At 40.3% G+C, this 13,196-nt stretch overlaps 1 protein-coding gene across 1 annotated transcript in view; it reads right to left on the reverse strand.

Annotated features, from left to right (window-relative positions):
• Positions 1 to 13,196, reverse strand: part of DENND2B (DENN domain containing 2B) — a 217,600-nt gene that overhangs the window by 185,075 nt on the left and 19,329 nt on the right. Inside the window, exon 2 of the mRNA NM_005418.4 lies at positions 2,584 to 2,683. The gene's annotated coding sequence lies outside the window, so the exon portion shown is untranslated. The remainder of the gene's footprint in view (positions 1 to 2,583; positions 2,684 to 13,196) is intronic.

Genomic DNA, 13,196 nt, shown 5'->3' on the forward strand with positions numbered 1-13,196 from the left:
TCGTCCAGGCTGGAGTGCAATGGCGCGATCTCAGCTCACTGCAACCTCCACCTCCTGGGTTCAAGCAGTTCTCCTGTCTCAGCCTCCCAAATAGCTGGGATTATAGGCACCTGCCATCATGACCAACTAATTTTTGTATTTTTGTAGAGATGGGGTTTCACCATGTTGGCCAAGCTGGTCTTGAAATCCTGACCTCAGGTGGCCTCAGCCTCCCAAAGTGCTGGGATTACAGGTGTGAGCCACCGTGCCCAGCCATGAATGGATTTTTTAAATGTGGTGTATCTATACAGTGGAATATTATTTGACCATAAAAAGGAATAACATTCTGATACATGCAATGTGAGTGAGACTTGAAAACATTATGCTAAGTGAAAGAAGCCAGACCCAGAAAGTCACATATTGTATGATTCCATCAATCCACAGAGACAGAAGATAAATGGTTGCCAGGGCTCCGGGGGAGAAAGAAATGGGAGGTAACTGCTTAGTGGGTATGGGAGCTCCTTGAGAGTGGTGAAAATGTTTTGGAACTAGAAGTGATGATTGCACAATATTGTGACTATAATTAATGTCACTGAATTATACACTTTAAAATGGTTTTTATGTTGTGTAAATTTCACCTCAAACATTTTTTAAAAAGGTAGACTCACTAATGCTCACTGTTATACTTCCCAGTCCACAGAAGTCTACCGTTCCAGTCACTGTGCAGTTAGGCAGGGCCATGTGACTGTCCAACCCTTGTCTAGCCAACAGGCTGTGAGCAGAAGTGACACATGTCACTTCCAGGCCAAAGCATTGAAGAAGGGGTAAGAGATGTCCATGCCTCTCTTCTCTGCCACATAAACCCAAAGCCATGTGAGACTGTAGCGGACCGGATCCCTGAATAAACCAATACCTCCCTACTGATCCATGCTGGCCATGCTGGATATGTATGAAATATCCTCATTGTCTTAAGCCACTGAAATGTGAGAAGCTGTTATTGCAGCATAAGCTTAGCTCCTCCTGACTGATACAGGATCAGATCTAGGAAGGATATGAAGGCAATATGAAGGAATTTGAATTTGATTCTGAAGGATGTGGAGAGACAATATTTTTGAGAAGAGTGACATGATGTGCATTTGAGGAAAATAACTCTAGAAACAAAAGTAGCTCTTAACCTTTGGTGCATGTCAAAAATCACCCAAAGAGAACTGTAGTCATCTTCCAATTCCTTTATAAATTCTTTAAAGAATAAAATATTTGTCCTCTGGAGAAAAAAAAATCACCCGAGAAGCTTTTCAAAATGCAATGCTCTGGTCCAAGACATCTCCAGATATCCTGAATCAGAGTCTCTATGCTAGGTACATATGATTGAAAAAAAAATTATGGGAAATTCTAGACTAGAGGTTAGAGGCAAGGAGGAGATACCAACTTCAGTCAGAGATGACCAAATTCACATGCTTAGTGAATTCAAATAAGCATTCTAATAAAATAATGGAACGATAAATGCTTAGGGAGTTTCGATTGAAATAGTAAGTTATGAAAAGGTTAGTCACATTAACATTTGTACAGTCAGAGTTATTACTTTGAACATTTAGGTACCAATAGAATGGTGGTGGTAGTTTTCATGCATCTACTCTATTGCTAACTAAGCAGCAGCCTACCCCAACATTTCCATTATGCTGGGGAACATGGTTGACATACCACAGACAAAGGACAGAGCCATCTTCAGTCTCCTAGAAGGTCAAACTCTTACATCTCCTTTCCTTCTTTGCTTCCTTTTTCCTTTTCTTTTAGGATAATTGGCATTCTATGCTCTTCTTAATTCCTTCCTCCTAGGTACTCATCAGTCAACTTTCAACTAATCAAGACTTGAAGAGCCAAAATATTTAAGAGCTCAAAAAGCCTAGGTTACAGATGCACTGGAAGCTGTCACTTTGAACTGTGTGTGTGTGTGTGTGTGTGTGTGTGTGTGTGTGTGTAGTTTTTACTACCAAATGTGATTTATTATATGTAATTGCTAAGAGCCTCAGCTTTCCAGAATAGAGATTTCAATACTGTGAAGAAATAAATCATTTTCTGACAATAATTCAGTTTGTGTTGCAAAATGCATCTTCAGAGCATCTCAAGATAAAGTGATCTCCAATAAACAGCACTAAAGCTGCCTGACAGAAAAACTATCTTCATTTCTAAAATTGACAAGCCTTGAAGCAGGAGGATAGCTTGAAGCTAGGAGTTCGAGGTCACAGTGGCTATGGTCACGCATGTTATCTCCTAGAGGTAGCAAGACTTCGTCTCTAAAAAATAATAAATAAAACTGACAGGCTTCACTACAAACCTCCTCCTAATACTGAATACTGCTCAACAATCCTTTTATTCCTAGTGATTTCGATCCTCTTCTTGTTCCCCACAGCAACTGTCCCAAGCCTGTCTCTTCCCAAAACTTCCAACTACTCACTCTCAGGAGGTAACCTTGCCTTCACCACTGAGAAAGGAGAAATGTAAATTCCCTCAACTTTCCCTTACCATGTCCAAATGTATCTTCATTCCCCCATCTCCTGTCTCAGAAGCATGCTTACTCTACTTATTTTGAAGAACGACCCTTACCCATGTTGAATCTCCTGTTTCCTTCATCTCATGTCTTCCTGTTTCCTGTTCTTCCCCTTCATTTTTGTGAGTATCTCCTCCAGTGGTTTTCTGTGAAAGGCTGCAGAGGAGGTAAATTTTTTTTTACCAGCTGGGAAATATAATGTATATATTTTTATGTCTTTGGAAGCTTGTAGGATATTTTCCTGAAAATTCATAGTGATGTGCCTTAGTATGGGTACTTTTTCAAACATCGTTCTAAGGCACTTGTGGGCCTTTTTAATCTGGAGGCTCATGTTCTATAGTTCCAGTAAATGTTCCTGTACTGTTCCTTTAATAATTTCATCCCATATATTTTCTCAAATTTCTCTTTCTACAACTCCTGTGACTTCTATGTTGGACCTCTTTGGTTGATCTCCTAATTGTCCATCTTACTGTCTTTTTGTTCTACTGTATGGGAAATTTTGTAAATTTTTTCTTCTGATTCTTCTATCAATTTTTAAAATTTCAACTATGATTTTTTAATTTCCAAATGCTCTGTCTTGTTCTTTTTGTTTGTTTGTTTTTGAGACAGTCTCACTCTGTCACCCAGGCTGGAGTGTAGTGGCATGATCTCGGCCCACTGCAACCTCTGCCTCCTGGGTTCAAGTGATTCTTGTGCCTCAGCCTCCTGAGTAGCTGGGATTAACAAGCGCCTGCCATCACAGTTGGCTGGCTACTTTTTGTATTTTTAGTAGAGACAGGATTTCACCACGTTGGCCAGGCTGGTCTTGCACTTCTGACCTCAAGTGACCGATCCACCCACCTCAGCCTCCCAAAGCGCTGGGATTACAGGCGTGAGCCAGCATGCCCGGCCAGTCTTGTTCTTGTTGTTCCTTTTCTCTAGAGCATCTTGAGCTTCTTACTTAACTTCTCTATTCTCTTAATATCTCTATCAACTCCTGTCTCTATGACCACTCTTTTTCACTGGCCTTCATTTACTATCTCCTTCTCTGTATACTCTTTAATTGGATTTTTTTTTCTTGGCTCTCTTCTACACAGCCCATCCTGGACATCTTATCTACTTGCATGGTTTCAATTCAATTTAGCTGATATTGCCAAACTATTATCTCTAGCTCCGACTTCTCTCTTTTAATTTCTAGACCTGAACTTCCAACTACCTTGTGGATATCTGCACCTAGATGTTCCAGACACCTCAAACTTTACATTACATTGCTGGCTTCTGGCATCCTATGCTCCAATCTCATAAACAACTTGTTATTTCCCAGAAAATATTATGAAAGGTAACATCTCTGATAGGCCCAACTCAAATGTCACCTTTTTAATAAAGCCTTCTCCGACTTCTTCCTACTCCTTGGGAGAATGGATTACTCTCTCCCTTGGCACCCAAGGCTCACTTCATAGCCCATAACCATTGTTCATAAGTATTGCTCACCATGAGCCAATCTGCTGACTGCCAGATTGTGAGCCTCTTGAAAGCATGGGTTATTTATCTATCAGTATAAGTTCCATCTTTAACCTCTAGCAAATGGCTGTTACTCAATAAATAGCTGTTGAATTACAATAATTTCAGGTGAACATACAGTATAAATATTTGACTATGTAATAATTAATTAATCATAGAATGTAACCAGAAACCTAACCCACTAGAAAAATATTATGTAAGTTTCAAAATGCATCTATGGTTATTTTTAATTTTAAAAGATTATCATTTTTTGGTTGGGCACTGTGGTTCATGCCTGTGATCCCAGCACTTTGGGAGGCCAAGGTGAGTGGACTGCTTGAGCCCAGCAGTTGGAGATCAGCCTAGGCAACACAGCAGGGCCCTGTCTCTAGAAAAAATACAAAAATTAGCCAGGAATAGTGGTGCATGCCTGTGATCCCAGCTACTTGGGAGGCTGAGGTGGAAGGATCTCTTGAGCCTAGAAGGTTGAGACTGTAGTAAGCTGTGATTGCACCACTGCACTCCAGCCTGGACGACAGAGTGAGAGTCTGTCTCAATCAATCAAATAATTTTTAAATATTATTTTTAAAATAAACATTCCCAAGCTTATACAAAGGCGCATTCTTCATAGTAACTTGCACAGAGTTACTTGCACAGAATTCAAAAAGCTAATTCAGTTTTAAATCATCTGCTCACCCAGATGGGTACCTGAACAGCTCTTAGAATACAGAACACATTTTGTTGTTGTTTTCATTTGGGATAACTACAAATAAAACCAAAGAAAAGGCAAAAAGAGATCTCTTTAGAATATATGACCCATATAAAAATATTAATAGTGGTTAGCCAACAAGCATTCTGATAAATTTCTTTTCCAAAAATGTCAAGTGATTAAAGAGTGAAGAAAAGAAAGACACTTCTGAACTCTTAACTAGAGCACTGCTACTAAGGGCATTATGAAGCTGAATGAAGAATGTTCATTCCTATGCAGGGATTAAGTGTCATTAGGGGCTTTTTGTTTTCTTTAGTTTGGTTTGATTTTCTTTTTCAAACTAAGCCCTAATGCCAAATCTTACATTTTCTTTTTCTTTTTCTTGTTGAACTGATGCTATGTTAAGATATAAGCACAAACATCTCATAAGTGTTTTAAAACCATCCAATTGTTTGAGAAGGCATACGTGCTGGGCCTATGAAGCCAAAACATTAGAGCTAGGAAATTTGATGAAGATAATAATTGCTTACAGACCAGCTTGTTTTAACTTGCTGAACAAAGAATACAATTTTATACCACATTTTCATCAGAAGCTTTTTCTCTACATAATCACTACTGTAATGAGCACTTTAAAAAGGGAGATTATCTACAGGTTAAGGAGTAAGGAAGTTATCAATTAGATACCATCGTCTTCAAAATTTCACTTACTCAAACTTTAGATTAATAGAAAAACATTTTTGGCTGACTTAAGCGATGTTTTGAATCTTTACAAACCATTTGTTTAGTGTGCACAGCATGAAATCTAGAAATGAAGACACCCCATTCTTTCCAGTACTGCCCTCAATGGTTCTATAGCCTTGGCTAGGTCAGTAATTTCTTTGTATCTTAGTTGACTTCTTAGATTTTCCTCTATAGAGATACAGTTCCATCTCTCTCACATCTTCAAAATGCATTCAGGCTCTATGCCTGTGTCAGAAGTTGCTCTCTCACTCCTTTCATTCAGTTACTTTGATCACTTGAAGACCCTCTAATTCACGATTCAACCAACATTTATTAAGGGCTTTCTCCATGACAGGCAATTCAGTGAAGGTGGGGATGGGGTCAGTCCCTAAAAGGATACTAATACTAGTCTACTAACAGAAAAAAAAAAAAAAATCCTCTTCGGACTTCCTTTGTTTTTTTGTTGTTGTTGTTGTTTTTTGTTTTTTTGAGACAGGATCTGTCATCCAAGCTGGAGTTCAGTGGTGCAAGCATAGCTCACTGCAGCCTCAAACTCCTGGGCTCAAGCAATCTTCCCACCTCTGCCTCCCAAGTAGCTGAGAGTGTAGGCACGAGCCACCACATCTGATTTAGATTTCCTATTCTTTATTTCCTCTAGTATATTCAGCTAGAAATTCTAAGAATTAAGTTGTGGTAGGTTTACAGGATTGGGTTAAGGCAGTCATTCAGTGATCGATGGTTACAGGACCAGGCAGCCTAGGAGTTAATATGGTTTCAAAACAGAGATAAGTCACAGAATGGAGCAAAGTCACCAATTTCACAAGATGAAGATAACTCTTCATGCATGGTACCAATGATGACCCTTGGTTTGCTGAATCCTTTGGCTTTATTACTCCACCCTTTAAGGCAGAACTCTCTAGACCTACTCTGCAAGCTATGTTGACTTCTGATTCTCTTAAACAGGGAGCCATTCATCTCAGCCCATAAGTCTTCAATATCAGTGTGTTAAAGCCAGAGTCATGTCTTCCAACTAAGTCTGAAACCTTGTAAAGAGAGGAAAGGAAGATGGGAAGAGATCTATGTTGTCCAGAAGTACTAAGGGGCCATTTTCTAACGGCAGAACTTAACTTTGAGACTCCCAACTCTGGATATTTGCTCATTCTTCCCCATCTACCAATCCCATTGGTACCTGTGTGACAACCTCCTCCGCTTTGTCTCTGACCTGTTGCTTGCCATGATCCTTGCCATTCAGAGGCCATTTGGCTCTGATCCATGGCCTTGTTGTAATCTTGGGTCACAGATATGCTACCAATCTGAAATGCTTATCTGGTTCCTGACCCCAGGCCTAGGCCTGATCACAAACTAAATTATTCTCTTGCCACCTGTCCCATGCCATGCATATCAGTCTCATCACAGTTTCTTATCCTGCTTCCCCACCCACGGCTGCCTATAGTTCTAGTGCTGGCTAAAATTATAGAATCTTTTTTAATTCATTCTGGAAGGACAAAGTAATTAAGAGATGATTAGTTTATGTGACAACAATATGCAGAAAGGATATAAATTTGCTCACAATTAACTGTAGTATGTGCATTGTTATTATATCTTTCCACACCTCAAGCTTTCAATCTCTAAATTAATACATTTGCCACCACATTCTCTCAAAGATATATTTATGCATACTTAATTAACATGTACTCTGGGAGTGCAATAAAGCTATAATACATTCCTGCATTTCTAACTACATAATGAGTATTTAAAACATTTAGAAACAAATTGGCTCCCAATAAGGAATAAAAATGTTGAGTAACTTATTTTTCAAATATAATGTCTATGCCACTTAACTGAATATTTCTGAAATGTTATATAAAAAGAAAAATATTATAATTGAATCAAGAAAAGCATACCATTCTGAAGAAATTCAGTGGTGGGTTCTTTTTCATAGTAAAGAAGGATTTTGGAAATGGTGACAACTATCCCATAATTAATAAGTTTTGTATGTTCAGCTATAATTACATTGAATTTTCTGAAAGAGAGACTAATGTGAACAATATTCCAGGAAAGGAATATTCTTTTTTTTTCTAACTTTTTTCGGGGGGAGAACAGAGTTTCAGCTCTGTCACCCAGGCTGGAGTGCAGTGGTACAATCATGGTTCATTGCAGCCTCGACCTCCCAGGTTCAAGTGATCCTCCTGCCTCAGCCTCCCATGTAGCTAAGACTACAGGTCCACATCAGGCTAATTTTTAAAATTTTTTTGTAGAGACAAGGTCTCACCATGTTGTCCAGGCTGGTGTCAAACTCCTGGGGTCAAGCAATCCTCCCACCTCAGCCTCCCAAAGTGCTGGGATTACAGGCGTGAGCCACCACGCCCAGCCTAGAAATATTCTTCTGAGTACATCTTATTAGGTTAACTTGCTTTAAGGCTTTGCCTTTTCTACTAGTGAAGCACTAAAACATATCCTTTTTAATTTAAAGACACAAAGATTTTCATTGCTCTTACATGAAGAGCATTCTAAAGTGTTAGAATAAAGTATACTTCTAAAATGTAAAAAAGTTAAAGGAGATTCCTCACCTCAATTCTTAGGAGATGCTGTATCTGGAAAGGGTAAACAGAAGCAAACAGTTTCCTGAAATTGTGCCAAGGCTACATGTCAACTGCCTGGCAGGAAATGCTTTGGAGAACCTAGATAAACAGACTATCATCTTTCTCTGGCTTTTTATAAAGCAAATGTACTGAGTTAAACTAGCATCATAGACACAACAAGCAGAAAAGGGCACCGAGAAATTTTAGATGATAGTACCTGTAGGATTTATGACAATTAAATCAGTGGTCTGTCCGTCACTTTTAACATACATGAACATCACGGCTCAACAAACATGTACTCAATACATGTCTGTTGGATTTTTGCAGTAAATTAAATCTTACCGTTCCATTAATTTTCATCATGATTTTGGTGAAGATTTATCTTTTTTTTTGGCAGGGGTGTAGACAGAGTTTCACTCTTGTTGCCCAGGCTGGAGTGCAATGGTGCAATCTTGGCTCACTGCAACCTCCACCTACCGGGTTCAAGCGATTCTCCTGCCTCAGCCTCCCAAGTAGCTGGGACTACAGGCATGTGCCACCACACCCGGCTAATTTTGTATTTTTAGTAGAGATGGGGTTTCTCCATGTTGGTCAGGCTGGTTTTGAACTCCCAACCTCAGGTGATCCATCTACCTCGGCCTCCCAAAGTGCTGGGATTACAGCACGGTGAGCCACCACGCCCGGCCTGTGAAGATTTATCTTACAATAAATTTTCATTTTGCAGCAGCTCTTAATATTTTGGCATTATAGAATGATAAAGCTTTCTTACATTTATATAGCAAATAATTTTTCAAAATATTTTGCATTATCTTCATTTTTTTCTAACTTCTCATTTCACAAGTGCTAGCAATAATGCTTAGGCAGGTTAAACAATTTGGTTGTAGTCAAAGATTAAGTTAGTCAGAGAACCAGGTTTAGAATCAATTTGCCTGAAACATTTGCTAGTATTTTCCCTCTCTCCCCACTGTATAACAGAAAATGGATTTGAAAATCCCTCTACTATCTTTACTAAAATAATCCTCCTACCTCACCTTATTTTACTTTACTTAACTGCAAAAAGGATGATAATATATGTGTTAACTGATAATATCTACTGTCAACCAAATAAATCTGTCTTGCATAAAGTCTACTCAGCCCTTCCATACCTTTTCTCTCTCCACCAGCCACATGTTCTATTCAGCTCCAATCCTAACCACACATCTTCTCTTTCTTCTTTCTCATACTAGAAGGATCCTCTGCCCCACATACCTTATGCCCAGTCTTGCCTGGTCACAAAGGGGAGCAAAACTTCCCTAATCAAAGGAATAAAGTAATATAAAAGGTGACATACCTCTCTACCTGCTATAATATCCTTTAGCCAAGGCACCTCAGATAACAATTTGAGCCACCTCAACCCTGAGGTCCCTCCCCATGATCCACAACCACCATCTGTGACTTCCAGTATACACCCAATCTGCCCCTCCCTCCCAAATGGAACATCTTAGCCTTCGTTACTACTGGGGATGGGGAGAAAAAAATAAACTTTGTGTGGAGGCCAGTTATGTTCTCTGCACAAAATGTGGAGAAGGAGACAGCATTCTGGTGGAGTAGGAAGCTGCTGGAATGTCTCTCCCCAGCTAGACAACATTTGCACAGCAGCATCTGTCTGATGTAATTATTTTGGAACTCTAGAGTCTATTGAAGGTTTGTGACTTCCAGGAAAAGGCTTGGACCTAAATTGTGGTTAATTTTGGTCAATTTCGGCTCTTAGTGTAGTGGACGCTACCCATGACCACCCCCATGGCAGGCAGCTGTACACATTTCCTGAAACAGCTTGCTGGAGCCAGGATGGGCAAAAAGGATCTTGTCCTTCAAATGTCAGTGATCTGTGCTCTGTCTGCTGATTGCTGCTTCTGATCATAGATGTGCAGAGAAAGAGGCTGGTGGCCATTGTTGCAAGAATGAACTTGGACCCTTACCTAACGCCTATACAAAAATTAACTCAAAATGAATCAAAGACTTAAATGCAAGACCTAAAACAATAAAATTCTTAGAAGAAAACATAAGGCCAAAGCTTCAAAACGTTGAATTGGCAATCATTTCTGGGATATGACACAAAGGCACAGGCAGCAAAAGAAAAAATTGATATATTGCACTGCATTAAAATTAAAAATTTGGGGGCACCAAAGGAAACTGTCAACAGAGTAAAAATGCAACCCACAGAATGAGAGATATTTCCAAATCATATATCTGATAAGGGATTAACATCCAGAATATGTAGAGAACTCCTAAAACTCGACAACAAAAAACAACATAATTCGAAAATGGGCAGAGAACTTGAATAGACATTTCTCAAAATAAGATACAAAAACAGCCAATAACAATATGAAAAGATGCTCAACATCACTAATCATTACGGAAATGCAAATCAAAGCTACAATGAGATGCCACCTCATACCTATTAGGATGGCTACCATTAAGGAAAACAAAGGCAAAATAAAAGTAACAAATGTTGGTGAGGATATGGAGAAACTGGAACACTTGTACACTCTTGGTGGGAATATAAAGTGGTATAGTCATTGTGGAAAACAGTATGGTGATTCTGCAAAAAGTTATAAATAGAATTACCATATGTTCCAGCAATTCAACCATGGGTATATACCCAAAAAATTGAAACCAGGGTCTCAAAGAGATATTTATAAACCCATGTTCATAGCAGCATTATTTGCAATAGCTAAAATGTGGAAGCAACAAAAATGTCCATCAATGGATGAATGGATAAGCAAATGTGGTATGTGCATACAACAGAATATTATTCAGCCTTAAAAAGGATGGACAGGTGGTTCCAAGATGGCCGAATAGGAACAGCTCCAGTCTACAGCTCCCAGCATGAGGGACACAGAAGACGGGTGATTTCTGCATTTCCAACTGAGGTACCGGGTTCATCTCAATGGGGCTTGTCAGACAGTGGGTGCAGTACAGTGGGTGCAGCCCAATGAACATGAGCCAAAGCAGGGCGAGGCATCGCCTCACCCGGGAAACGCAAGGGTCAGGGAATTCCCTTTCCTAGCCAAGGGAAGCTGTGACAGACAGCACCTGGAAAATCAGGTCACTCCCACCCTAATACTGCACTTTTCCAATGGTCTTAGCAAACGGCACAACAGGAGATTATATCCCGCACATGGCTCGGAGGGTCCCATGTCCATGGAGCCTGGCTCATTGCTAGCACAGCAGTCTGAGATCAAACTGCAAGGTGGCAGCGAGGCTCAGGGAGGGGCACCTGCCATTGCTGAGGCTTGAGTAGGTAAACAAAGCGGCCAGGAAGCTCAAACTGGGTGGAGTCCACCGCAGCTCAAGGAGGCCTGCCTGCCTCTGTAGACTCCACCTCTGGGGGCAAGGCATAGCCAAACAAAAGGCAGCAGAAACCTCTGCAGACTTAAATGTCCCTGTCTGGCAGCTTTGAAGAGAGTAGTGGTTCTCCAAGCACGGAATTTGAGATCTGACAATGGACAGACTGCCTCCTCAAGTGGATCCCTGACCCCCGAGTAGCCTAACTGGGAGGCACCCCCCAGTAGGGGCGGACTGACACCTCACACGGCTGGGTACTCCTCTGAGACAAAACTTCCAGGGGAACGATCAGGCAGCAACATTTGCTGTTCAGCAATATTCACTGTTCTGCAGCCTCCACTGCTGATACCCAGGCAAACAGGGTCTGGAGTGGACCTCCAGCAAACTCCAACAGACCTGCAGCTGAGGGTCCTGACTGTTAGAAGGAAAACTAACAAACAGAAAGGACATCCACACCAAAACCCCATATGTACGTCACCATCATCAAAGACCAAAGGTAGATAAAACCACAAAGATGGGGAAAAAACAGAGCAGAAAAGCTGAAAATTCTAAAAATCAGAGCACATCTCCCCCTCCAAAGGAACGAAGCTCCTCGCCAGCAACAGAACAAGCTGGATGGAGAATGACTTTGACAAGTTGAGAGAAGAAGGCTTCAGATGATCAAACTTCTCTGAGCTAAAGGAGGAAGTTTGAACCCATCGAGAAGAAGCTAAAAACCTTGAAAAAAGATTAGACGAATGGCTAACTAGAATAACCAGTGTAGAGAAGTCCTTAAATGACCTGATGGAGCTGAAAACCATGGCATGAGAACTACGTGATGAATGCACAAGCTTCAGTAGCCAATTCAGTCAACTGGAAGAAAGGGTATCAGTGATTGAAGATCAAATTAATGAAATGAAGTGAGAAGAGAAGTTTAGAGAAAAAAGAGTAAAAAGAAATGAACAAAGCCTTCAAGAAATATAAGACTACATGAAAAGACCAAATCTACATCTGAGTGGTGTACCTGAAAGTGACAGGGAGAATGGAACCAAGTTGGAAAACACTCTGCAGGATATTATCCAGGAGAACTTCCCCAACCTAGCAAGGCAGGCCAACATTCAAATTCAGGAAATACAGAGAACACCACAAAGATACTCCTCGAGAAGAGCAACTCCAAGACACATAATTGTCAGATTCACCAAAGTTGAAATGAAGGAAAAAATGTTAAGGGCAGCCAGAAAGAAAGGTCAGGTTACCCTCAAAGTGAAGCCCATCAGACTAACAGTGGATCTCTTGGTAGAAACTATACAAGCCAGAAAAGAGTGGGGGCCAATATTCAACATTCTTAAAGAAAAGAATTTTCAACCCAGAATTTCATATCCAGCCAACTAAGCTTCATAAGTGAAGGAGAAATAAAATTCTTTACAGACAAGCAAATGCTAAGACATTTTGTCACCACCAGGCCTGCCCTACAAGAGCTCCTGAAGGAAGCAATAAACATGGAAAGGAACAACCGGTACCAGCCACTGCAAAAACATGCCAAATTGTAAAGACCATCAATGCTACGAGGAAACTGCATCAACTAACAGGCAAAATAACCAGCTAACATCATAATGGCAGGATCAAATTCACACATAACAATATTAACTTTAAATGTAAATGGGCTAAATGTGCCAATTAAAAGACACAGACTAGTAAATTGGATAAAGAGTCAAGACCCATCAGTGTGCTGTATTCAGGAGACCCATCTCACATGCAGAGACACACATAGGCTCAACATAAAGGGATGGAGGAAGATCTACCAAGCAAATGGAGAACAAAAAAAGGCAGGGGTTGCAATCCTAGTCTCTGATAAAACATACTTTAAACCAAC

Source organism: Homo sapiens, chromosome 11 (assembly GCF_000001405.40).
Source record: "Homo sapiens chromosome 11, GRCh38.p14 Primary Assembly".
NCBI classification, from domain to species: domain Eukaryota; kingdom Metazoa; phylum Chordata; class Mammalia; order Primates; family Hominidae; genus Homo; species Homo sapiens.